Source organism: Homo sapiens, chromosome 12 (genome assembly GCF_000001405.40).
Source record: "Homo sapiens chromosome 12, GRCh38.p14 Primary Assembly".
NCBI lineage: Eukaryota > Metazoa > Chordata > Mammalia > Primates > Hominidae > Homo > Homo sapiens.
The window spans coordinates 111,588,263-111,613,993 of record NC_000012.12 but is presented as its reverse complement, the minus strand read 5'-3'; the positions used below and the strand labels follow the sequence as shown (position 1 = coordinate 111,613,993).

Here is a 25,731-nt window from a genome sequence, read left to right as displayed (position 1 = left end):
TGAAGGCTCCTGTGGTTTCTTGGTTCCAGTGTCTTCTGATGAACTTAGAATGATGCTTTTCCCAATGCCTGCAAGGCGACATCACAAGCTATTAACTAACTGCAATAAAAATTGGCTTCGGCCGGGAGCGGTGGCTCATGCCTGTAAGCCCAGCACTTTGGGAGGCCGAGGCGGGTGGATCACAAGGTCAGGAGATCGAGACCATCCTGGCTAACACGGTGAAACCCCATCTCCACTAAAAATACAAAAAAAAAAAACAACTCTCCGGACGTGGTGGTGGGCGCCTGTAGTCCCAGCTACTCCAGAGGCTGAGGCAGGAGAATGGCGTGAGCCCGGTAGGCGGAGCTTGCAGTGAGCCGAGATCGCGCCACTGCACTCCACCCTGGGCAACAGAGCGAGACTCCGTCTCAAAAAAAAAAAAAAAAAAAAATGGCTTCATCCAGTGGGAGAATGAAAATTCTGGGCCAGGCACAGTGGCTCACACCTGTAATCCCAGCACTTTGGGAGGCCGAGGCAGATAGATCACTTTGACCCAGGAGTTTGAGACCAGCCTGGACAACAGGGTGAGACCACGTCTCTACAAAAAAATACAAAAATTAGCAAGGCATGGTGGTGTGCAACTGTGATCCCTGTCCCTGTGCGCATGTATCTGCTTGGGAGGCTGAGGTGGGCGGATCACTGGGAGGAGAGGGTTACAGTCAGCTGAGATCACACCATTGCACTCAAGCCTGGATGACAGAGCTAATCCCTGTCTCAAAAAAAAAAAAAAAAAAAAAAGGAAACTTCTCCACTGAAATCACATACGATGGCAACACTTAGGTAAAGAAGGTCCCCTAACTGCCTGGAATTGCTTGGGTCATTGTGGGTAGCGTTGGATGTTGGCCCCATCGTCCTGGCCCATGGCTGGTAGCCATTAGCAGGTGCATAGGAAGCATGTGCCATTGCAGGCCCAATTAAGCAAACTTGCAAAAATTGAGAATTAGTCTCAGATCAAATTATTAAGTACCCACTATGCTCAGATTGACTCCATGTAGGTGACAACAGGAGCAGAGGGCTCTGCCTGCTTCTGCTGCTCCTATATTTGGCCAATATGACATTTCAGCAGAAAAAAATCCAAATGTGGCAGAAAAGCATGCAGGATTAAATTTCCTGCTGGGCGTGGTGGCTCACACTTGTAATCCCAGCACTTTGGGAGGCTGAGGCGGGCGGATCACGAGGTCAGGAGTTCAAGACCAGCCTGGCCAACACAGTGAAACCCCATCTCTACTAAAAATGCAAAAATTAGCTGGGCGTGGTGGTGTGCGCTTGTAATCCCAGCTACTCGGGAGGCTGAGGCAGGAGAATCGCTTGAACCCGGGAGGCAGAGGTTGTAGTGAGCCGAGTTCATGCCATTGCACTCCAGCCTGGGCGACAGAGCTAGACTGTGTCTCAAAACAAACAAATAAAAACAAAACAAAACAAAAAAATCTTCCTGAAAATGGCCTTTCCTTTCTATTTCTGTGTGACTTAGGATTTCCTGCCTAGAGTTTGAAAATGGTAGTTTCTGTTTGAATAACACAAAAGTAAAGTGGTGTAGACAATAAGATATTTTTTCTTTTCTTTTCTTTTCTTTTCTTTTTTTTTTTGAGATGGAGTCTTGCTCTGTCACCCAGGCTGAAGTGCAGTGGTGCGAACTTGGCTCACTACAACCGCCACCTCCTGGGTTCAAGTAATTCTCCTGTCGCTCCTGTCTCAGCCTCCCGAGTAGCTGGGACTGCAGGTGCAGGCCACCATACCTGGCTAATTTTTTTTGAATTTTTAGTAGAGACCGGGTTTCACTGTGTTAGCCAGGGTGGTCTCGATCACCCAGCCTCGTGATCTGCCTGCCTCACTCTCCCAAAGTGCTGGGATTATAGGCATGGGCCAACATGCCCCCAGCTCTTTTTATTTTTTGAGACGAAGTCTCTCCCTGTCGCCCAGGCTGGAGTGCAGTGGCCCGATCTCAGCTCACTAAGCTCCACCCCCTGGGTTGAAGCAATTGTCTTGCCTCAGCCTCCTGAGTAGCTAGGATTATAGGCACCTACCATCAAGCCCTGCTAATTTTTGTTTGTTTGTTTGTTTGTTTTTTGAGACAGAGTCTGGCTGTGTCGCCCAGTCTAGAGTGCAGTGGCGCAATCTCGGCTCACTGCAAGCTCTGCCTCCTGGGTTCACGCCATTCTCTTGCCTCAGCCTCCTGAGTAGCTAGGACTACGAGTAGCTGGGACTACAGGTGCCTGCCAACACGCCCGGCTAATTTTTTCTATTTTTAGTAGAGACGGGGGTTTCACCGTGTTACCAGGATGGTCTCGATCTCCTGACCTCGTGATCTGCCCGCCTCGGCCTCCCAAAGTGCTGGGATTACAGGTGTGAGCCACTGCGCCCAGCCTGTTTTTTGTTTTTTTGGGATAGAGTCTCACTCTGTCATCCAGGCTGGAGTGCAGTGGCATGATCTTGGCTCACTGTAAACTCTGCCTCCTGGGTTCAAGTGATTCTCCTTCCTCAGCCTTCCAATTAGCTTGGACTACAGGTGCACACCACCACACTCGGCTAATTTTTTATATTTTTAGTAGAGATGGGGTTTCACCATATTGGCCAGGCTGGTGTCGAACTCCTGACCTTGTGATCCGCCCACCTTGGCCTCCCAAAGTGCTGGGATTACAGGTGTGAGCCACCATGCCCGGCTCTAATTTTTGTATTTTTAATAGAGACACGGTTTCACCACCATGTTGGCCAGGCTAGTCTCAAACTCCCGACCTCAAATGATCTGCCCGCCTCGGCCTCCCAAAGTGCTGGGATTACAGGCGTGAGCCATGATGCCCAGCCTCTTTTTTTGTTTTGAGACATGATCTCGCTTTGTTGTTCAGGCTGGAGTGCAGTGGCACAATCATGGTTCACTGCATGCAGCCTTGACCTCCCAGGCCCAAGTGATCCTCCCACCTCAGCCTCCTGAGTAGCTGGGACCACAGGCATGCCCCGCCACGCCCAGCTAATTCTTTTTCATTTACTTTATTTTTATGTATTTTTTTAGATGGAGTTTCACTCTTGTTGCCCAGGCTGGAGTACAATCGCATGATCTTGGCTCACCTCCACCTCTACCTCCTGGGTTCAAGCGATTCTCTTTGCTCAGCCTCCCGAGTAGCTGGAATTACAGGGATGTGCACCAGCCTGGCTAATTTTGTATTTTCAGTAGAGATAGCGTTTCTACATGTTGGTCAGGCTGGTCTCAAACTCCTGACCTCAGGTGATCCACCCGCCTCGGCCTCCCAAAGTGCTAGGATTACAGGCGTGGGCCTCTGCGCCTGGCCTATTTTTTAATTTTTATTATATTTTTGAGAGAGCCTCACTTTGTCACCCAGGCTGCAGTGTAGTGGCACGATCTCAGCTCACTGCAACCTTGGCTTCCTGGGTTCAAGCAATTCTCGTGCCTCAGCCTCCCAAGTAGCTGGGATTACAAGCACCCGCCACCACGCCCAGCTAATTTTTTTTTTTGTATTTTTAGTAGAGACGGGGTTTCACCATGTCGGCCGGGCTGGCCTCAAACTCCTGACCTCAGGTGATCCACACGCCTCGGCTTCCCAAAGTGCTTGGATTGCAGGCATGAGCCACTGTGCCTGGTTTTTTTGTTTTTGTTTTTGTTTTTAATTAATTTTTTTCCTATAGGAACCAACATGCGTGCACTGTCAGTTTTTAAGGCATTGCCAATTTGTCCCTTGCAGGTGGTGACTTCTATAATAATCACTATTCCTTGAATAAAGAAACAGGCAGTCATCAGTGGTGCCAGTTCACTAGAGCCCTGTATTTGATGAGACAAAGGAGAGAAGCTGATTTTTTTCAAGAGAGCCACCTTAGGCCTTTACTTTTTTTTTTTTTTTTTTTTTTTTTGAGATGGAGTCTTGCTCTGTCGCCAGGCTGGAGCACAGTGGCACGATCTTGGCTCACTGCAACCTCCACCTCCTGGGTTCAAGCAGTTCTCCTGCCTTAGCCTCCCAAGTAGCTGGGACTATAGGCGCACAACGCCATGCCCAGCTATTTAATTTTTTTTTTTGTATTTTAGTAGAGATAGGGTTTCACCATGTTGCCCAGGCTGGTCTCGAACTCCTCAGTTCAGGCAATCCTCCCGCCTCGGACTCCCAAAGTGCTAGGATTACAGGCGTGAGCCACCACACCCGGCCAGGCCTTTACTATTCCATATAGGAAAGCAGTTTAGAACCCGGATGTTGGAAACAGACTTTCTGGGTTCGAATTGCACCTTTACCATTTAATAAATGTGCCCTTAGACAAAGTGACTCACTCTCTGTATGCCCTAGTCTCCCCATCTGTAAAAGGGGAATAATAATCCTATCTACTTCTCAGGGTTACTACAGGGTTTCTTAACCTCAGCACCATCGTCATTTTGGGCTGGATTAATTCTTTGTGCTGGGAGATTGTCCTGTGCATTATAGGGTGTTCAACAGTATAAGGACATAGAAAAAAACAAATTTGGATTCTCCTATACTCTCACAATACAACATAGAACGCTTCTGGGCTGGGGCGGTGGCTCACGCCTGTAATCCCAGCACTTTGGGAGGCTGAGGTGGGTAGATCACCTGAGGTCAGGAGTTCAAGACCAGCCTGGCCAACATGGTGAAACCCCGTCTCTACTAAAAATACAATAATTAGTTGGGCATGATGGCGGGTGCCTGTAATCCCAGCTACTCGGGAAGCTGAGGCTGGAGAATTGCTTGAACCCAGGAGGCGGAGTTTGCAGTGAGCCGAGATCACATCATTGTACCCTAGACTGCGCAACAGAGCAAGACTCCACCTCAAAAAAAAAAAAAAAAAAAAAAAAAAAGGCTTCTGACACCAGCCAGGCGCAGTGGCTCAGGCCTGTAATCCCAGCACTTTGGGAGGCCAAGGCAGACGGATCACCTGAGGCCAGGAGTTCAAGACCAGCCTGGCCAACATGGTGAAACTCTGTCTCTTCGAAAAAAATACAAAAATTAGCTGGGCATGGTGGTGCGTGCCTGTAATCCCAGCTACTCAGGAGGCTGAGGCAGGAGAACTGCTTGAACCCAGGAGGTGGAGGTTGCAGTGAGCCGAGATTGCGCCACTGCACTCCAGCTTGGGTGACAGAGGGAGACTCTGCCTCAAAAAAAAAAAAAAATGCGTTTGACACTAGATGTGTGGGGGCTTTTCCCTACCACATATCAAGCAAGCAATTCTGGAGTGTGCATCTGGGCACCTCTAATTCAATTCAATTCTGGCACTATCTACCTGGAGATAGCATCGGATCACACCCCCGACTTCAGATGCCAGTCACAAAAACAGGCTGTAAATCAGGGCCCCAGCAAGAGATCGGGGTTCCCACGATCCCCTCCTCAGGTTTGATTACTTTGCTAGGGTGGGTCACAGAACTGAGGGAAACACTTCTGTTATTACAAAAGATACAGCCAGATGGAAGAGAGGTGCAGGGCAAGGTATGTGGGAAGGGGCAAGTCACACTCCACGAACCTCCACCTCTTCAGCTATCTAGAAGCTCTCAGGGATGGGTATGGTGGCTCATGCCTGTATTCCCAGCACTTTGGACAGCTTAGACAGAAGGATTGCTCTAGCTCAGCGGGCGGATCACAAGGTCAGGAGATCAAGACCATCCTGGCTAACACGGTGAAAACCCGTCTCTACTAAAAATACAAAAAAAAAAAAAAAAAATTAGCCAGGCATGGTGGCGGGCGCCTGTAGTCCCAGCTAGTTGGGAAGCTGAGGCAGGAGAATAGCGTGAACCTGGGAGGCGGAACTTGCAGTGAGCTGACATCGCGCCACTGCACTCCAGCCTGGGCAACACAGCGAGACTCCGACTCAAAGAAAAAAAAAAATAGGCCAGGTGCAGTGGCTCATGCCCGTAACCCCAGCATTTTGGGAGGCCGAGGCGGTTTGATCACCTGAGGCCAGGGGTTCGAGATCAGCCTCGCCAACATGGTGAAATCCCGTCTCTACTAAAAATACAAAAATTAGCCGGGCGTGGTGGCGCATGCCTGTAATCCCAGTACTCAGCAGGCTGAGGCATGAAAATCGCTTGAACCCAGGGAGGCAGGGGTTGCACAGGGCTGAGATCACGCCACTGCAACCCAGTCTGTGTGACAGAGCAAGATTCCATCTCAAAAAAAAAAATAATAATAATAAATAAAAGCTCTCATAACCCAGCTCTTCTTGATTTTTATGGAAGCTTCATTCTATTGGCATGATTGATTAAATCATTGGCCACTGGTGATCAAGTTAACCTTCAGCCTCCTTTCCCTCCCCAGAGGCTGGGGGATGGGGCTGAAGAGTCCCAACCCTGTCATTATTGTCTTTCCTATGTCCAGCCCTCATACTGAGGCTGTCCATCACTTTGGAGATTTTGAGAATTTTAGGAGTTGCGTGCCAGAAAACCAGAACAAACACCAAATACCTATATTTAACAATATCACAAACAGCATACCTGGTCTGTACTCACAAGATGCCAGGGGCATTCCCCTCCAATCGTAACAAACAGAAATGTGTCTAGACATTGCCAAATGTCTCCTGAGGGGGCGATGGAGCTGGGGCAAAACTGTCCTTGGCATTGAGAAGCAGCAGGTTGTTACAAGGATTCAATGAGCAAGTTATTGTGCAGGTAGCACTTAGAACATGGTTGGCACATAGTAAATGCCATGTAAAGGTCTACAATTATTATTTTCATTATTGTTCTCTAGCCCTGCCTTACCTTGTGGAAAATAAATATTTTGATAATATGAGGGCTTAAGCAAAACGGTGTGTATGGTTAAGCCCATATGTGATTCTACTGGGGAACAAGTATCCAAGTCCCTATTCTGAGATCGAAGGTCAGCAATGTCAGTATTCATTATAGTCTGACTCTTCTGGGGTTCCATTGTAGGACTCACCATATCCCGTAGCAAACTAACAAGATCCCATGCTAATGGCCAGTTCAGCTGTCACTGGTCTGCACACATCCATTTTAAATCCCTTCCTGCATTCTCCAAATCATGCATAATTCAGATCTTTGGCTTTCCATAAATCTGTGGCCCTGAAACAACAGGCTGCCCACCAAACTCACCCCCAAAAAGAGGGTGAATAAAAACAAAAAAGGGAGAAAGAGGAAAAACAAAAGGCTGAGTTTCTTTAAATTTCTGGCTCTGCAGAGCCCAAGCATTTCCAATGAAAAATAAAGAATTCTTTCTTCTGTGTCTATTTCAGCTGGCAACCAGCTTTGCCTTGTGAATAATGTTACTGCATCATTATTCTATCCCACAAGGTAAAACAAAACGAGCAACTTAACAACCAGGAGTGTGCTCGTTTGGAGGGAATGGCTCATTTAAAAGTTCTTTAAATAATGTTGCTGTGTTCTCTACAATTTTGCAGCTCCCCACCCTCCACTTTTTTCAAAGCTATGGGAAAGTTGTTACTTTGCATACAAGGTATATAAATAATCCCTTCCTGGAAGCCCTCTCCCCCAAACACTTTTCATTTTTTAAAAAATAATGTTTTTTATTGCATTTACTCTTTTGGGATTCCTGGAGTGTCTACAAATAGATGAGCCTCTACGAATTCTGAGTAACTGTGGTTAGAAAAAAAAACATTGGTTTAATTAGCCATGGTCCTATTTTTGATATTACATCAGCTTTTTTTTTTTTTTTTAAATGAGGATTGGTCTATACAAAAACTTGAAGAGGATGAATTTGGGGGGATGCAAGTTAGTTCTGATTTGAATTAATTTTCATGCTTTTGAAAGTGAAATCAAGAGTATTTAGTGAATAATATACCATCATACATTAAGCAAGATCAAGGGAAGAGAAATGAAAAGGCATGATTGCAGAAATGTGAATTGCCAGGAATACTGGATCACGTGATATGTGCTTCTGTAGTGAGTGCAAGCAAATCACTCTTCACAGTTCTGCTCCACATAGCTCCATCAGTTTGTCATCCCCAAATCCCGAGACTTGATTAATCATTGAAGTGATGAAAATTAACAGGCTCAGCCGGGCATGGTGGCTCATGCCTGTAATCCCAGCATTTTGGGAGGCTGAGGTGCGTGGATCACCTGAGGTCAGGAGTTCGAGACCAGCCTGGCCAACATGGCAAAACCGTGTCTCTATTAGAAATAAAAAAATTGCCAGGCGCGGTGGCTCACGTCTGTAATCCCAGCACTTTGGGAGGCCGAGGCGGGCGGATCACGAGGTCAGGAGATCGAGACCATCCTGGCTAACACGGTGAAACCCCGTCTCTACTAAAAATACAAAAAATTAGCCAGGCCTGGTGGCAGGCACCTGCAGTCCTAGCTACTTGGGAGGCTGAGGCAGGAGAATGGCGTGAACCCAGGAGGCGGAGCTGGCAGTGAGCCGAGATTGCGCCACTGCACTCCAGCCTGGGTGACAGAGCGAGACTCTGTCTCAAAAAAAAAAAAAAAAAAAAAAAGGAAATAAAAAAATTGGCCAGGTGTGGTGGCGCACACCTGTAGTGCCAGCTACTTAGGAGGCTGAGGCAGAAGAATCGCTTGAACCCAGGAGGCGGAAGTTGCAGTGAGCTGAGATTGTGCCACTGCACTCTAGCCTGGGTGACAGAGCAAGACTCTGTCTCCAAAAAAAAAAAAAAAAAAAAAAAAGCTGGGCGCAGTGGCTCACACCTGTAATCCCAGCACTTTGGGAGGCCGGGGCGGGCAGATCATGAGGTCAGGAGTTTGAGACCACCCTGGCCAACATGGCGAAACCCCACCTCTACTAAAAATACAAAAATTAGCCATGCACAGTGGCAGGCGCCTGTAATCCCAGCTACTCGGGAGGCTGAGGCAGAAGAATCACTTGAATTCAGGAGGTGGAGGTTTCAGTGAGCTGAGATCACACCACTGCACTCTAGCCTGGGCAACAGAGCAAGAATCTGTCTCAAAAAAAACAAAAAAGAAAAGAAAAGAAAAGAAAATTATTAACAGGCTAATAAAAGGGCCCTGTGGCTTGCTGAAGGGTCAATGAAAATCAGAAAGCAAGTATAGAATCTACTGGACTAGATTCTCAAGTCTGCAGGTCTGTCTCCAAGCTCTCTCACTTGAGATATTTTTTCATTTCTGAAATAGTGGCTGAAATGACCATAGCTATTTTTGAAGTTGAAATTTTAGCAACACTTCTCAATATCAGAACTCTTTCAGGAGAGTACTGTTCACTGCCTTTGCAGACAACTCTCTGACTCTCTGCTTTTGTTTAAAGGGGTGTCTGAAAATCATTTGGGGGAAAGGAGAGCATTCAAAATGTTCACTTGTTGGTTGGGTGGTGTGGTGGCTCACACCTGTAATCCCAGCACTTTGGGAGGCCAAGGCAGGCAGATCACTTGAGGTGAGGAGTTCTGGCCAACACGAAAAAATGTCGTCTCTACTAAAAATACAAAAATTAGCTGGACATGGTGGTGAGTGCCTATAATCCCAGCTACATGGAAGGCTGAGCGGGGAGGATCACTTGAACCCAGGAGGTGGAGGTTACAGTGAACTGAGATTGTGCCACTGCATTCCAGCCTGGGCAAGACAGCAAGACTCTGCCTAAAAACAAACAAACAAATCCCCCAAAACTAACAAAAATTAGCTGGGTGTGGTGGTGCACGCCTGTAGTCCCTGATACTCTGAAGGCTGAGATGGGAGGATTGCTCGGGACCGCCTGGGAGGCAGACGCTGCAGTGAGCCAGACTGTGGAACTGTACTCCAGCCTGGTTGGCAGAGTAAGACCCTGTCTCGAAAAAAAAAAAAAAAAGTATTGTTTTAAAATTCAGGTGGGGAGGATTTCACAGTGTCTGAACACCAGGAGGCAAGAATCATTTGGGACCGCCATAGAGGCTGCCTGACACACCACTTCTTTTAAGGTGCATTACTCTAATATATATATATATATATATTATTTTTTTGAGATGGAGTGTCACTCTGTCACCAGGCTGGAGTGCAGTGGCATGATCTTGACTCACTGCAACCTCTGCCTGCCAGGTTCAAGCGATTCTCCTGCCTCAGCCTCCCGAGTAGTTAGGACTACAGGCGCACACCACCATGCCCAGCTAATTTTTGTATTTTCTTTTTTTTGAGACAGAGTCTCGCTCTGTTGCCCAGGCTGGAGTGCAGTGGCGCCATCTCACCTCACTGCAAGCTCCGCCTCCCGAGTTCATGCCATTCTCCTGCCTCAGCCTCCCAAGTAGCTGGGACTACAGGCGCCCGCCACCACACCCACCTATTTTTTTGTATTTTTAGTAGAGACGGGGTTTCACTGTGTTAGCCAGGATGGCCTTGATCTCCTGACCTCGTGATCTGCCCGCCTTGGCCTCCCAAAGTGCTGGGATTACAGGTGTGAGCCACCATGCCTGGCTAATTTTTGTATTTTTAATAGAGACAGGGTTTCACCATGTTGGCAAGGATGGTCTCGATCTCTTGACCTCAGGTGATCAGCCCACCTCAGTCTCCCAAAGTGCTGGGATTACAGGCATGAGCCACCGTGCCCAGCCTACTCTGATATTTTCATATAAAGCTTAAGCCTTCTGAAGTCCAGAGAAAAGGTAGTTTCCATAAATAAATAAATAAAATAAAAATAACTAAATAAACTTACCACATCACCCAACAATTTCGTTTGTAGGAACCAACCCAAGATAAATGAAAACATATATCCACATGAAGATATATGTTCACAAATGTTCATAGCAGCATTATTATTTTTCTTTCTTCTTCTTTGTGTGTGTGTGTGTGTGTTTTAGCAACTCTATTAACTGAACGAGACAGGGTCTTGGTCTGTTGCCCAGGCTAGAGTGCAGTGGCGCATTCGTAGCTCACAGCAACCTCGATCTCCTGGGCTCAAGCGGTCCTTCTGCTTCAGCCTCCCTAGTAGCTGGGACTATAGGTGCGTGTCACCATGACCAGCTAATTTTTTTTTTTTTTTTTTTTTGGAGACAGAGTATTGCTGTGTCACCCAGGCTTCAGTGCAATGGTGCAATCTCGGCTCACTGTAACCTCCGCCTCCTGGGTTCAAGCAATTCTCCTGCCTCAGCCTCCCAAGTAGCTGAGATTACAGGTGCCCGCCACCACGCCTGGCTAATTTTTTGTATTTTTAGTAGAGACGGGATTTCACCATGTAGGCCAGGCTGGTCTCGAACTCCTGATCTCAGGTGATCCACCCACCTCGGCCTCCCAAAGTGCTGGGATTATAGGCATGAGCCACCACGCCCAGCCAACCAGCTAATTTTTTATTTTTAAAGTTTTTCATAGAGACAGGGTCTCTCTATGTTGCCCAGGCTGGTTTCAAACTCCGGGGTATTCAAGTGATCCTCCCATCTCGGTATCCTAAAGTGTTGGGATTACAGGAGTGAGCCACCAATCTCAGCCCCAGCAGCATTTTCATAATACTCAAAAAGTTGACACAATCTAAACATCCACAATTGGAAAGTAGACACAAAATGTGGTATGTCCATACATGGAATATGACATAGCAATAATAAGGAATGAAATACTGCTACATGCCACAACCTTAGATAAACCTCAAAAACATTATGACAAATGAAAGAAGGCAGACACAAAAGGCTGCATGCTGTAAGATTCTACTTATGTGAAAAATCTGGACAAATCCATAGAGAGAAAATGTAGATGAGTGGTTGCCTGGGGCTAAGGATGGGAACCAAACTGCCCACCATCGTGAAGGATCTTTTTGGGGTAATGGAAATGTTCTGAAATTAGTGGCAATGGTTGTGCAAATTTACTGTGTAAATTTACTGAGAATCATTAAATTGTACACAAAATAGGTGAATTTCATAGTATGTAAATTATATCTTGATAAAACTATTAAGTTTTTATTCAATGGTAGTGAGTTAAAACAAACTTTCTCAGCTATGTCAGCTTCAGGCCTTCTTTTTTTTTAATTTTGAAAAATTTTTTATGGAGAGGAGGGTCTCACTATGTTGCCCAGGCTGGTCTCCTACTCCTTGGTTCAAAGGATCTGCCTGCCTTGGCCTTCCAAAGTGCTGGGATTATAGGTGTAGGCCACTGTATCCAGCCTAGGCCTTCTTATTCAACTTCCATCGACCTGAAACTTACTATTTTTTTTTTGAGACGGAGTCTCGCTCTGTCGCCCAGGCTGGAGTGCAGTGGTGTGATCTCCGCTCACTGCAAGCACCGCCTCCCAGGTTCACACCATTCTCCTGCCTCAGCCTCCCAAGTAGCTGGGACTACAGGTGCGCATCACCACACCCAGCTAATTTTTGTATTTTTAGTAGAGATGGGCTCTACTAAAAATTGGCCAGGCTGGTCTCGAACTCCTGACCTCAGGTGATCCACCGGCCACTGCCTCCCAAAGTGCTGGGATTACAGGCGTGAGCCACCACACTGGCCAAAACTTGTTCTTAAGATTGTATTCTGGGACCTTGATTCCAATCAGAGAAAAGTGATTGTATTTTTTTATTTTTATTTTTTTTAGATAAAGTTTCGCTCTTGTTGCCCAGGCTGGAGTGCAGTGGTGCCCTCTTTGGTCACTGTAACCTCCGCCTCCTGGGTTCAAGCGATTCTCCTGCCTCAGCATCCTGCGTAGCTGAGATCACAGATGCCCACCACCACGCCCAGCTAATTTTTTCGTATTTTTAGTAGCGATGGGGTTTCACCATGTTGGCCACGCTGGTCTTGAACTCCTGACCTCAGGTGATCCATCCGCCTCGGCCTCCCAGAGTGCTGGGATTACAGGTGTGAGCCACCGCGCCAGGCCAAGTGTTTGTATTTCTATTAAAGAAAGAATATAACGGGACACCATTGACGACCTGCTCCATTGCAGGCCTCCTTGCTGTTCCTCAGACTCCCCCCTCAGAGCCTTTGCCCTCGCTGTGCCCTCCACCTGGAGCGTTTCTCCCCAGGATCCTCATGCCCATGCTCATTTGGGTCCCTGCCCCATGTCACCCTCTCCAGGAGCTTCCCCTCACAGCAGCCCTGGCCTGTACCACAGCCGGGTACAGGTATTTTTTTGTTTCAACTGGTTTTTTAGTTCCAGTTTCCTTTAGGTTACTTTATTTATTTATTTATTTATTTATTTTTTGAGACGGAGTCTCGCTCTGTCGCCCAGGCTGGAGTGCATGATCTCGGCTGACTGCAACCTCCACCTCCCGGATTCAAGCAATTCTCCTGTATCAGCCTCCCGAGTAGCTGGGATTACAGGCGCCCACCACCACACCCGGCTAATTTTTATATTTTTGGTAGAGACGGGGTTTCACCATGTTGGCTAGGCTAGGTTAATTTTTAAAGGGTTTTGCAATGGTCCCTTGATCTACTTTTTACCTTAGATGGGAAATAAAACTGATTTCCTACATTGGCAGAATACAATGATCATTTTTGCCTGGACTATCTAGGAGGTTAATTTCAGTTGGACTACTGAAAACTGCTGGTTCAATCATTCTCCACGTTTATCTAAGTCTTTACCTTTATCTGGACAGTTCTAGGACATTGAGGGGAATTTTGGTGTTTCTTCCCCTATTATTTCCTGAAGTCATTTCACTTTAAAAAACAATAGATTCACTGCTCAAAAAAAAAAAAAAAAGTTACCTACTTTCTACTTGCTTCCAGTTTAACTGCAACACATTTTAAAAAGAGTCTACTGTGCTGGCTGGGTAAGTTAAATTAAAACTTCTAAAGGGTCCAAGGTCTAAAGTTCGCACATTGTTTTGAGGTCGGCTCTGTCTCTACCGAGGGAGATCCCATTATCCGTAGTTCTACCAGTCCCAATCCCATATATTTCCTTTAGAATCTCATGAATGAGGAAAAAGAAGTTCAAGTGAGGGAACATAGGTTCAAATGAAGGTCAGATACCTAAAAGAGTTTTCTGGTGACTGTGCGCGGCTGGGGTGGAAAAAGTGGGGAAAAGGTACCCAGATGTGGGTGGCCCCGGAGGGTTGCTCCACTCCAGCCCCGGCAGGGCAGGACAGCGCGGCCTGCCTGGTAGATGCCCCGAGCCACTGGAGCGCCTACTGTGTGGCGGGCGGGGGACGGCAGGAAAACGGCAGGATGCTGTGTCCCCTGAATCTGGCAGGGTTCTAGGTGCTTTACACGTAGCAAGACACATTCTCCGCCCCAAGGCACTCGCAGTCAGTCCATTTTCTGGGTTGCATCAGGTGGGGGCAAACTAGGTCCCCGCAGAAGTGAAGATGCTGAAGGAATACAGTAGGAGAAGAAATGCTTCTCTCCTGTCCTCCACACCAGGCAGGCCCCAGAGGCTGAGACCGACACGCCCTCCCCGAAGGGCAGACCCGCCTTGAGGAAGGCGGATCCGGGTAGGGACCGCCGCCTGGCCCTCACCCGACCCCCGAGAAAGCAACCCAGCGCGCCGCCCGCTCCTCACGTGTCCCTCCCGGCCCCGGGGCCACCTCACGTTCTGCTTCCGTCTGACCCCTCCGACTTCCGGTAAAGAGTCCCTATCCGCACCTCCGCTCCCACCCGGCGCCTCGGCGCGCCCGCCCTCCGATGCGCTCAGCGGCCGCAGCTCCTCGGAGTCCCGCGGTGGCCACCGAGTCTCGCCGCTTCGCCGCAGCCAGGTGGCCCGGGTGGCGCTCGCTCCAGCGGCCGGCGCGGCGGAGCGGGCGGGGCGGCGGTGGCGCGGCCCCGGGACCGTATCCCTCCGCCGCCCCTCCCCCGCCCGGCCCCGGCCCCCCTCCCTCCCGGCAGAGCTCGCCTCCCTCCGCCTCAGACTGTTTTGGTAGCAACGGCAACGGCGGCGGCGCGTTTCGGCCCGGCTCCCGGCGGCTCCTTGGTCTCGGCGGGCCTCCCCGCCCCTTCGTCGTCCTCCTTCTCCCCCTCGCCAGCCCGGGCGCCCCTCCGGCCGCGCCAACCCGCGCCTCCCCGCTCGGCGCCCGCGCGTCCCCGCCGCGTTCCGGCGTCTCCTTGGCGCGCCCGGCTCCCGGCTGTCCCCGCCCGGCGTGCGAGCCGGTGTATGGGCCCCTCACCATGTCGCTGAAGCCCCAGCAGCAGCAGCAGCAGCAGCAGCAGCAGCAGCAGCAGCAACAGCAGCAGCAGCAGCAGCAGCAGCAGCCGCCGCCCGCGGCTGCCAATGTCCGCAAGCCCGGCGGCAGCGGCCTTCTAGCGTCGCCCGCCGCCGCGCCTTCGCCGTCCTCGTCCTCGGTCTCCTCGTCCTCGGCCACGGCTCCCTCCTCGGTGGTCGCGGCGACCTCCGGCGGCGGGAGGCCCGGCCTGGGCAGGTGGGTGTCGGCACCCCAGCCCCCTCCGCTCCGGGCCCGGCGTCCCCTCCCCCGCGGCCCGCGCCGCCGTCCCCGCCCCGTGACCCGCCGGGCTACCCGGGGTGGGCTGGGGGCCGGCAGCGCGGGGGAGACTCGCTCGGGCCTGAGCCCCGAGGCTCGGCCGGTGGGCGCAGCCGGGGTCCTCTGGGATTGTCAGGCCTGTCCAGCCTCCCGCAGCATCCCCGCCCCCTCCCCCGGCGGTCAAGATGGAGGGAGCGGGCGGCCTCCCCTCCCCACGCGTGTTGGGAGGGGTTCTCGGGTAGCGGCGATGGTCAGCCCCGGCTCCCCCTTCCGCACGATCCTCCGCCCGCAGCGTGGGGATGCTCGGGCAGCTCCTCCACTCCCGGTTTAGGTGTGAACGTTGGAGGGGTCTGGAGGCTGTGGTGGCGTTTTCCGGAACATGTCCCCCTCCATGGGGGACATCTCTGGAGGGGAGAAGTTAGGGCCGCGTCCCCCGTGCCGGTTAAAGGGGTAGGCACCGGGCTCCTCCGGAATCATCAGGGTCTGTCGGGGCTCTCTCCCCGCCCCCTCCGAGTCCTGGGAAAGATCGGAGGACGGGGTGGAGACAAGTGGGCCTTGGCCCCCGCACCCCTCTGCGTTCGTGTCCGAGGCGGCGGCGGGGGCTCCCGAACTCCCCTGAAATCGTGGGGCTCCATGTGGCCTCCGGCAGCGTTCCACCCTCCCCCACCTGGGGAAGGGAAGGGGTGGGGAGTGCCCGGCCCCGTCCCGGCCTTCCTCCTTCCCCCGCCAGACCTCTCCGGCGCGCGGGTGGTGGCCGATCCGCATTGCTGTTCGAGGCCGCAGTGGAGAAGGCGCCTGTGGAACATCGGTGGGTGAGGGCTGGACCCAGGCTGGACCCTGGAGATCCGGGGTGGCGGTGCTGGTGGCAGGGGGCGGGCACCCTGCGCACTTATCCCAACCCCCGCCCCAATTTCGGAAATGCTAGGAGAGAGAGATTGCAGCAGGGGACGTGGTCGGGTTCCTGAAGGCAGAAAGGCGGGTGTTTACTAGCGTCTTTTTCCCTCCTAAGCCGGGGTTGTAGTAGGGGCTGGGGGCTCAGTGTTGTCCCGGCTAACTGGGTTTGACTCGAGGGTGTGTTTGTGCAGGAGGGCCTGTTGGGGGTGGCGGGCGGTTGTCAGTTCGTATTTCACGAACTAAGAAAATGCTTAGTGTTCAAAGGGAGAAGGAAACGTCAATAGACTCCATTCCATTGTGGCCGGTGTCCTTAACTTCGGGAGTGCCGCCAGAGCTTACCAAGGGCACGCAAGTCCATTTCCCTTGTGCCTCAAGTCCATCCGTGTTGTAGGCACTACTGTGCCTTCTTTAGGCCTAGGCCGCCGGCTTGACGGCGGGTGACCGGCGTCCTCCTTAAATAGGCATCTTGGGCTTTGGAAGGTGGAATAAGAGGATTTTTCATTCACCCGAGTTTTCTTTTTGAAAACACATTTTCAGCAACCCATTTCCAAAGAATTTTTATTTACAGCAGAAATTCCCCATCAAGAGGAATCAGCTGGTTTTTAAGGAATTCTGCTGCCTTCAAAGGGGGCGGAAACAGTCGGTTATTTGACTTTACACGCCCCGCCCCCCCTTCCCCTTCTCTGAGTCTGAAGCATCCCAAACACTACTTAGCCAAACTAGTTCAGATGAAGTGATCGTTTCCCCAAGTAGGGTAACTTCAGTTTCCCTTTTTCGTTGGCATCTAGCGAAAAATGAAAAAATTTAAAATACAACTTTTATAGAAAAGGATGTATTCTGTTTTTACTTTCTTAGGTATTAGGAAGAGATTTGGCAGATAATTCAACATGTTCAAATATATAAACATTAAAACTAAGGTTATTAAGTTGCATTGACTACTAGGCTTAAAAATTAGATTATAAGAGAATTTGCTCCTGAGTAGTTTGAGTGATCAAAGATATTTGGAATGTTTTAGTACCACAAGGTCTTTTTTCTGTTCCTTGAGGCTTTACAACAATTTAAGGTTAATTTAGATTTTTCCTTGCTTTAAGTTCTTTTACTTGAGACCTAAATGGCAGCCCTTATTCTTTCTGATGAATAGGTGAAATTTTGTTTACTGTGTTGGATTTGTGTAATGTGAAGTTTTATTCTTGAACAGATCGTTAATGTACTTGTAGAATTACTTTGAATTTGAATCACTTTCCTGCATTCCTTGTAAATAAGTTTCAGCTTCTAGAATCTCCTCACTTAGGTTTGTGCGTATCAACAGTGAAAATAAGTCTCTGAGAGCAAGGGTGAAAAAAAATGCAGCATTCGGTTTGACAAGTTTCGAGATAGCAAAATATGCTTGAAAGTCTGGAAATTCACATCTGCTTTAAGAAACATTTCATAATTTGACTTTGTGTGTGTGTGTGTGAATAGTTTTTCATGACTTTCAGAAGTGATTTATTTTGTTCTTTGTTATATATATTTTTGAAGGTGGCTGTTTTAGGAAAGATAATGTAATCACAATATTAGAACATAATTTTACTGTAATCTAATTTTGTGTGTGTGTGTGTGTGTGTGTGTGTGTGTGTGTGTGTGTTTTGGATGGAATCTCACTCTGTCGCCCAGGCTGGAGTGCAGTGGCCTGATCTCAGCTTACTGCAGTCTCTGTCTCCTGGGTTCATTTAAGTGATTCTCCAGCCTCAGCCTCCCCAGTAGCTGGGATTACAGGTTCGTGCTACCACACCTGGCTAATTTTTTTGTATTTTTAGTGAGGACGGGATTTTGCCATGTTGGCCAGGCTGGTCTCGAACTCCTGACCTCAAGTGATCCGCCTGCCTTGGCCTCCCAAAGTGCTGGGATTACAGGCGTGAGCTACTGCCCCTGGCCAATTTTTGTATTTTTAGTAGAGATGGGGTTTCACCATGTTGGCCAGGCTGGTCTCGAACTCCTCCTGACCTCAAGTGATTCGCCAGCCTCGGCCTCCCAAAGTGCCAGGATTACAGGCAGGAATGAGCCACTGCCCCCAACCATCAGTCTAATTCTTATTTTTGCTTTTTACCTTTTCATTTTTATGTAGTAGAGGTGATTGTGTATGTTATTTTGTAGTTAGCTTTTTTCCCCTGAACGTTGTATTGTAAATGTAAATTTTTTTTTTTTTTTTTGAGACAGAGTCTCGGTGTTTGCCCAGTCTGAAGTGCAGTGGTACGATCTCAGCTCACTGCAGCCTCTGACTCCTGGGTTCAAGCGATTCTCCCACCTCAGCCTCTTGAGTAGCTGGGGCTACAGGAATGTTCCACCACGCTTGGCTAATTTTTGTATTTTTGGTAGAGACAAGGTTTCACCATGTTGGCCAGTTTGGTCTCGTACTACCGACCTCAGGTGATGCGCCCGCCTCGGCCTCCCAAAGTGCTGGGATTGCAGGCGTGAGCCACTGCGCCCGGCTGTAAGGTTTTTACTTAACCATTCTATTGTTGGGAATTGGGTTTCCACTTTTTTGTTATAGATAGTGGTGCAGTGAACATTTTTAAATAGCTTTTTGCTTCAGTGTAATTATTTCCTTAGAGAAAGTTACCAAGAGTGGTTTTACTAGTTCAGAGGGCTTCAGGATTTTTATGGCTCTTGCTAGCGGTGCTCTATTATTCTTTAGAAGACTTGTATTACTTCCAGTGTCAAGAAGGTTGCTCTTCCATGGAATGGTTTCTTTGTAGTTTGTCAAATATTGTGGGGAATTTTTAAAGGAAAAATTGCATTTTTACTGTCAAGTGCATATATTATTAAGTGCTTTTGTTAGTTACTGGATTATTGATATTTGAGTTTAATTTGGTTCCTCTGAGGATTTAATAAGGTAATATATGTGAAGATGTTTTGAAACCTGTAACCATTATTATTAATGAGGGTACTTGGTTTATCTGTCGTGCTGATAGTACTGAGTAAAGTGCAGGAATGAAATTCCTGAGGAACTGTTCTAAAGCTTTGTTGTTGTTGTTAACCTTTCTTTTTCATCTGAAAGTGTTTTTTATTAGCTGCTAGCCTATGACCAAGTTATTTTTGGTAACTTTTTTGTAATTTCATGGCACTATTGGGAATTTTCGCTGGTTGACTCTTCTTCTTCTACATTCCCTTCCCCATTAAAAATAAAAATATGGATTTACAATTGTTACTCTATTCCTAAACCTAAATAATATGACATTAGAATTGCTTGGGATACAGGATTCAGTCTGAATAAAATATTTTTCTTTTAGTGATTTTCAGCTTAGTATTTTTACTGCTTCTTTCTCTTGAGGCATTGCAACTTAAAAATTGTGCTGTTTAGCCAGGCGCCTGTAATCCCAGCTACTTGGGAGGCTGAGGCAGGAGCATCACTTGAGCCCAGGAGGCGGAGGTTGCAGTCAGCTGAGATTGTGCCACTGCACTCCAGCCTGGGAGACAGAGTGAGACTCTATCTCAAAAAAAAAAAAAATGTGCTGTGATTTAATGTAGTTGTTCATCATGCTTCCATTTAAATTTCAGTGAGACTGTTCATCTTTTGCAGTTAAATATCTTGTAGAAGGGCCTAAAATATCTACGTTGAATACAGCTTTATTGAAGCATCTATGTACATGGGGTTTTTGGGATGAATCAGTGAATAAAGCAAACATATTGTCCTTTTGGAGTTTACATTCTAATGTGACTAGGCAGACAATGAGACATTAAATTACCAGCCTATGTATAATAGTGTATAAGAGCTATGGAATTAGAAGAAAGCAGATTAAAGGTATAGGGAGTGTGGGGAGGGGAATGAGTTACAATTTTAAATGGATTGGGGGAACTTAATTGAGGAGCTAACATTTGAGCAAAGATTTGAAGGTTGGGTATTTAGCCGTTTGCTTTTTATCTAGGTTAATTAGTCATGTGGCTTCATTAGTAATTTATAAGGTTTAAATGGCATCATCCTTTGTTATTCTTTTATGTGCACATTGATACTAACCATCTCTGAAGTTAGACCAAAAAAGTTAATTGACATTGAGGGTCATTAGAGGTAAATTGTAGATGGCTATTACTAACCAAAGAGACATGTTTTGTTTTTCTTTTGGGCTTACGTATTTTACCTAATTAGTTTAGTTTTTGTTTCAAGTATGTGGAGAAAATAAACTTTTTAAGTTTGGGCCAAAACTTGCTTTGGTTTTCTTTTTCTTTTTCTTTTTTTTTTTTTAAGAGAAAAATGTAAGCCTGTAGTTGCTTAAAGATTCCACATTCTGAAACAGTGAAAACATGGGATCAGTCATGGTGTTCCTTTTTTTGGTTAAATGTAAACTTGTATTTTCAGTGTTACTCTAATTAGCAATGGTTTATACTTCTACATAAGGGATGTTAACTCATATTGTAGCTATTTAATAGCCATATATTTTGACTTAAAGGAGGATCTCAAGGCCAGGCGCGGTGGCTCATACCTGTAATCCCAGCACTTTAGGAGGCTGAGGCGGGTGGATCACCTGGGGTCAGGAGTTTGAGACTAGTCTGGCCAACATGGTGAAACCCCCATCTCTACTAAAAATACAAAAATTAGCCGGGCATGGTGGTGGGCGCCTGTAATCCCAGCTTCTTGGGAGGCTGAGGGAAGAGAATTGCTTGATCCCGGAGGTTGCAATGAGTGCGGAGGTTGCAGTGAGCTGAGATCATGCCATTACACTCCAGCCTGGGCAACAGAGCGAGACTCTGTCTCAAAACAAACAAACAAACAAAAAAAGGAGGATCTCATTTTTTTGTCCTAAATAGCTACAGCCGTGTTAGAACTGTCACCTTAGCAAAGTATTGTTTTTTTACTTTGAAACGAATTTTAAGGTTTTAGAAGATTGTTCTCTAGAATTACAATTTTCTGTTTTGACTAGTGATAGTATTTTGATGTTGTGTAAATAGTTGAGCATGAACAAAACCCTATTTTTTTTTTTAGCTATTTCAAGTGATTGTGACAACTTCAACGGAGATGTAAACAGTTTATTAACAGTCACACCTATTATCTTTTTTTTTTTTTTTTTTTTTTGAGACGGAGTCTTGCTCTGTCGCCCAGGCTGGAGTGCAGTGGCACGATCTCTGCTTACTGCAACCTTTGCCTCCCGGGTTCAAGTGATTCTCCTGCCTCAGCCTCCTGAGTAGCTGGGTCTACATGCGCACACCACCACGCCTGGCTAATTTTTGTATTTTTAGTAGAGACAGGGTTTCACCATGTTGGCTAGAATGGTCTCAAACTCCTGACCTCAGGTGATCCACCTGCCTCAGCCTCCCAAAGTTCTGGGATTACAGGCATGAGCCACCGTGCTTGGCCGCTGCCGTATCTTTTTAAATGAAAGTACTTGTGTTTTTTTTGTTTTTTTCCAAAGGATATCTGGGTCATCTATGATGTTACTGTTACCATCTAAGGGTTTTTTTGTTTGTTTTTGAGACAGAGTCTCTGTCGCCCAGGCTGGAGTGCAGTGGCGTGATCTTGGCTCACTGCAACCTCCGCCTCCCAGGTTCAAGCAATTCTCCTGCCTTAGCCCTCCCGAATAGCTGGGATTACAGGCACCCGCCACCATGCCTGGCTAAGTTTTGCATTTTTAGTAGATATGGAGTTTCACCATGTTGGCCAGGCTGCTCTTGAACTCCTGACCTCAGGTGATTCGCTTGCCTCGGCCTCCCAAAGTGCTGGGATTACAGGCGTGAGCCACCCCCGCCCAGCCTCATGAGCTAAGGTGTTTTTTTTTTTTTTGAGACAGTTTTGCTCTTTCCCAGGCTGGAGTGCAGTGGTGCAATCTCAGCTCACTGCAACCTCTGTTTCCCGGGTTCAAGCGATTCTCCTGCCTCAGCCTTCTGAGTAGCTGAGATTACAGGTGCCTGCTACCCCACTCAGCTAATTTTTGTATTTTTAGCAGAGACAGGGTTTCACCATGTTGGTTAGGCTCATCTCGAACTCCTGACCTTAAGCGATCCACCTGCCTTGGCCTCCCAAAGTGCTGGGATTATAGGCATGAGCCACCGTGCGCAGCCTACCCTGTCTCTTAAAAAACAGTAACAACAACAACAACAACAAAAAATCCTAAATCTTAAAAATGGAAGGCAAAAACTCTAAGCTTTGAGAGATTAGGGGACTTGCCCAAAGCAATATTTGTAGGATTTTATTACACCTCTCCCTTTATTTATTTTTTTAGAGTCAAGGTCTCCCTCTGTCACCCAGGCTGGAGTGCAGCCTCAATCTATGGGGCCAAGCATTTCTCCTGTCTTAGCCTCCTGAGTAGCTGGAACTACAGGTGTACACCAGCTGGCTAACATTTAAATTTTTTGTAGAGACAGGGTCCTGCCATGTTGCCCAGATTGGTCTCAAACTCCTGGGCTCAAGTGATCCTCCTGCCTCAGCTTCCCAAAGTGCTGAGATTACAGGTGTGAGCCACTGCACCGAGCCCCCTCCCTTTATTTTTATTTTTAAATTTTAAGTTCTGGGGCCCCTCCCTTGAAATAAATAGAAACGTAATATATACACAAGATCATGCTGTGTATTTTAAGGCAATGGTCCTCAACCTTTTTAACACTAGGGACCGGTTTTGTGGAAGATGGTTTTTCCATAGGGGCAGGGGATGATTTTGAGATGAAACTGTTCCACCGGCCGGGCACGGTGGCTCACGCCTGTAATCCCAGCACTTTGGGAGGCCGAGGCGGGCAGATCACGAGGTCAGGAGATCGAGACCATCCTGGCTAACATGGTGAAACCCCCCTCTACTAAAAATACAAAAAAATTAGCTGGGCGCGGTGGAGGGCGCCTGTAGTCACAGCTACTCCGGAGGCCGAGGCAAGAGAATGGCATGAAACCCGGGAGGCAGAGCTTGCAGTGAGCTGAGATAGCACCACTGTACTTCAGCCTGGGGGACAAAGTGAGACTCCGTCTAAAAAAAAAAAAATTGTTCCACCTCAGATCATTATGCATTTGTTAGATTCTCATAAAGAGCATACAACCTACATCTCTTGCTATATGCAGTTCCCAGTAGGGTTTGTGCTTCTATAAGAACCTAATGCTGCACCTGATCTAACAGGTGGGGCTCAGGTGCTAATGCTCACACAGCTCCTGTTGTGCAGTCTGGTTCCTAACAGGCCTGTTTTTTTTTTTTTAATTAGATGGAGTCTCGCTCTGTCACCAGGCTGGAGTGCAGTGGCACGATCTCAGCTCACTGCAACCTCTGCCTCCCGGGTTCAAGCGATTCTCCTGCCTTAGCCTCCCATGTAGTTGGTACTACAGGCGCACACTGTGATGCCCAGCTAATTTTTGTATTTTTAGTAGAGACGGGGTTTCACCATGTTGGCCAGGATGGTGTCGATCTCCTGACCTTGTGATCCGCCCAACAGCCTCCCAAAGTGCTGGAATTACAGGCGTGAGCTGCTGCGTCCGGCCCCCTAACAGGCTTGTTTTATGGAATACAGTCACGGACAGTACTTGCCCTTCAGGATATCTTTTTGTAACCTTGATTTTGGCTTGCTAAAATAGGAGGTCTATTTTCTTTTCTTTGTTTTTAATGTATGTGGTTCTGTACTTACGTGGTGTGAAATCTACATAAATGTTAAATCCTTGGTTATTTATTTATTTTGAGACAGAGTCTCACTCTGTCACCCAGTCTGGAAAGCAGTGGCATAATCTCGGCTCACTGTAACCTCCACTTCCCAGGTTCCAGTGATTCTCCTGCCTCAGCCTCCTGAGTAGCTGGGATTACAGGCATGCACCACTACACCTGGCAAATTTTTGTATTTTTTTTTAGTAGAGATGGGGTTTCACCATGTTGGCCAGGCTCGTCTTGAACTCCTGACCTTAGGTGATCTGCCTGTCTTGGCCTCCCAAAGTTTTGGGATTACAGCATGAGCCACTGCGCCTCGCCTTATTTTTTTGAGACAGGTTCTAGCTCTGTCACCCAGGCGGGAGTGCAGTGGTGCCATCATGGCTCATTGCAACCTCGAGTTCTCAGGCCCAAGTGATCCTCCTATCTCAGCCTCCTGAGTAGCTGGGACCACAGGCATGCGCCACTATGCCCAGCAAAATTTTTGTTTCACTCTGTTGCCTAGGGTGGGGTGCAGTGGCAGGATATCGGCTCAGTGCAACCTCTGCCTCTTGCGTTCAAATGATTCTCATGCCTCAGCCTCCCGAGTAGCTGGGATTATAGGCATGCGCCACTACACCTGGCTAATTTTTGTATTATTGGTAGAGATGGGGTTTTATCATGTTGGCCAGGCTGGTCTCGAACTCCCGACCTCAGGTGATCCATATACCTTGGCCTCCTGAAGTGCTGGAATTACAGGCATAAGCCACTGCGCCTAGCTTTTTTGTTTGTTTTTATTTTGTAGGGACAGAGATTTTACCTGTTGCCCAGGATGGCCTTGAATTCCTGACCTCAAACAATTTGCCCTCCTTGGCCTCCCAAGGTGCTGGGATTACAGGTGTGAGCCACTATGCCTGGCTGGTTTTTTAAATTATTATTATTGTTTGTGTGTGTGTGTTGCAGGATCTTACCCTGTCACCCAGGCTGGAATGCAGTGATGTGATCTCGGCTTACTGCAACCTCCGCCTCCTAGGTTCAAGTGATTGTCCTGCCTCAGCCTCCTGAGTAGCTGGGATAACAGCTGTGTGCCACCATGCCTGGCTAATTTTTGTATTTTTAGTAGAGATGGGGTTTCATCATGTTGGCCAGGCTGGTCTCGAACTCCTGACCTTAGATGATCCACCCGCCTCGTCCTCCCAAAGTGCTGGGATTACAGGTGTGAGCCACCGTGACCAGTTTGGTTTAGTTTTTTTTTTTTTTTTTTTTTTTTTTTTTTTTTGAGAAATCTCGCTCTGTCGCCCAGGCTAGAGTGCGGTGACACAATCTCAGCTCACTGCAAGCTCCACCTCCCAGGTTCATGCCATTCTCCTGCCTCAGCCTCCCGAGTAGCTGGGACTACATGCGCCCGCCACCATGCCCGGCTAATTTTTTTTATGCATTTTAAGTAGAGATGGGGTTTCACTGTGTTAGCCAGGATTGTCTCAATCTCCCGACCTCTTGATCTGCCCGCCTCGGCTTCCCAAAGTGCTGGGATTATAGGCATGAGCCACCGCGTCCGGCCTGGTTTGGTATTTTTTTTATGAGTCTGGGTTGTTTATGAAAACTTGTCACAGCTGTTAACCTTAACTTTTTTTTTTTCTTTTTTTTCCGAGACGGAGTCTCGCTCTGTCACCTAGGCTGGAGTGCAGTGGTGCGATCTCGGCTCATTGCAACCTCTGCCTCCCAGGTTAAAGCGATTTTTCTGCCTCAGCCTCCTGAGTAGCTGGGACTGCAGGCACGCACCATCTCGCCTGGCTAATTTTTGTATTTTAGTAGAGATGGGGTTTCACCATATTGGCCAGGCTGGTCTGGAACTTCTGGCCTCAAGTGATCCACCTGCCTTGGCCTCCCATGCCTGGCAACCTTAACTTTTTATTTGCTGGTAATTATTTGTGTTTGCATTCATGTGAAAATTTGAAATTCTCATTAACATTTAAAGATTCTTACATAGATTGCTTGTAATTTTAAC

The 25,731-nt window shown here is 47.9% G+C and overlaps 1 protein-coding gene and 1 long non-coding RNA gene across 6 annotated transcripts in view, besides 7 other annotated features; one reads left to right on the top strand and one right to left on the bottom strand.

The window, feature by feature from the left end:
* Window positions 1,832-2,331: an enhancer, noted in NCBI's record as "H3K4me1 hESC enhancer chr12:112049467-112049966 (GRCh37/hg19 assembly coordinates)". NCBI's record gives its function as "activates a minimal SCP1, AML or CMV promoter by ChIP-STARR-seq in naive H9 embryonic stem cells {active_cell/tissue: H9 hESC(naive)}" and the evidence as "EXISTENCE:reporter gene assay evidence [ECO:0000049][PMID:30033119]".
* ATXN2-AS (ATXN2 antisense RNA) lies at window positions 13,739-14,496 on the bottom strand. Its single transcript, NR_146497.1, has 2 exons — window positions 14,441-14,496; window positions 13,739-14,166 (listed from the first exon to the last, which is right to left on the bottom strand). It is a non-coding gene; the product is annotated as an ATXN2 antisense RNA (long non-coding RNA).
* Window positions 13,945-14,174: an enhancer, noted in NCBI's record as "active region_7038". NCBI's record gives its function as "activates an Ori minimal core promoter by ATAC-STARR-seq in GM12878 lymphoblastoid cells {active_cell/tissue: GM12878}" and the evidence as "EXISTENCE:reporter gene assay evidence [ECO:0000049][PMID:35858748]".
* Window positions 14,321-25,731, top strand: part of ATXN2 (ataxin 2) — a 147,460-nt gene continuing 136,049 nt past the window's right edge. For 3 of the 5 annotated variants that reach the window (NR_132311.2, NM_002973.4, NM_001372574.1), the window contains exon 1: window positions 14,679-15,210. Coding sequence is in view for 2 of the 5 variants with exons in the window: in NM_002973.4 (NP_002964.4) it covers window positions 14,960-15,210 (251 nt within the window). In the remaining 3 variants the exon portion in view is untranslated. Of the gene's footprint in view, window positions 14,420-14,678; window positions 15,211-25,731 lie in introns of those variants that run through there. The other 2 variants (NM_001310123.1, NM_001310121.1) reach the window with 1 other exon arrangement.
* Window positions 14,635-14,944: a silencer, noted in NCBI's record as "silent region_4873". NCBI's record gives its function as "represses an Ori minimal core promoter by ATAC-STARR-seq in GM12878 lymphoblastoid cells {active_cell/tissue: GM12878}" and the evidence as "EXISTENCE:reporter gene assay evidence [ECO:0000049][PMID:35858748]".
* Window positions 15,005-15,174: a silencer, noted in NCBI's record as "silent region_4872". NCBI's record gives its function as "represses an Ori minimal core promoter by ATAC-STARR-seq in GM12878 lymphoblastoid cells {active_cell/tissue: GM12878}" and the evidence as "EXISTENCE:reporter gene assay evidence [ECO:0000049][PMID:35858748]".
* Window positions 15,265-15,314: a silencer, noted in NCBI's record as "silent region_4871". NCBI's record gives its function as "represses an Ori minimal core promoter by ATAC-STARR-seq in GM12878 lymphoblastoid cells {active_cell/tissue: GM12878}" and the evidence as "EXISTENCE:reporter gene assay evidence [ECO:0000049][PMID:35858748]".
* Window positions 15,905-16,034: a silencer, noted in NCBI's record as "silent region_4870". NCBI's record gives its function as "represses an Ori minimal core promoter by ATAC-STARR-seq in GM12878 lymphoblastoid cells {active_cell/tissue: GM12878}" and the evidence as "EXISTENCE:reporter gene assay evidence [ECO:0000049][PMID:35858748]".
* Window positions 21,749-21,923: a silencer, noted in NCBI's record as "fragment chr12:112029875-112030049 (GRCh37/hg19 assembly coordinates)". NCBI's record gives its function as "represses an EF-1alpha promoter that drives an FKBP-Casp9 reporter gene in an ReSE screen in K562 erythroleukemia cells {active_cell/tissue: K562}" and the evidence as "EXISTENCE:reporter gene assay evidence [ECO:0000049][PMID:32094911]".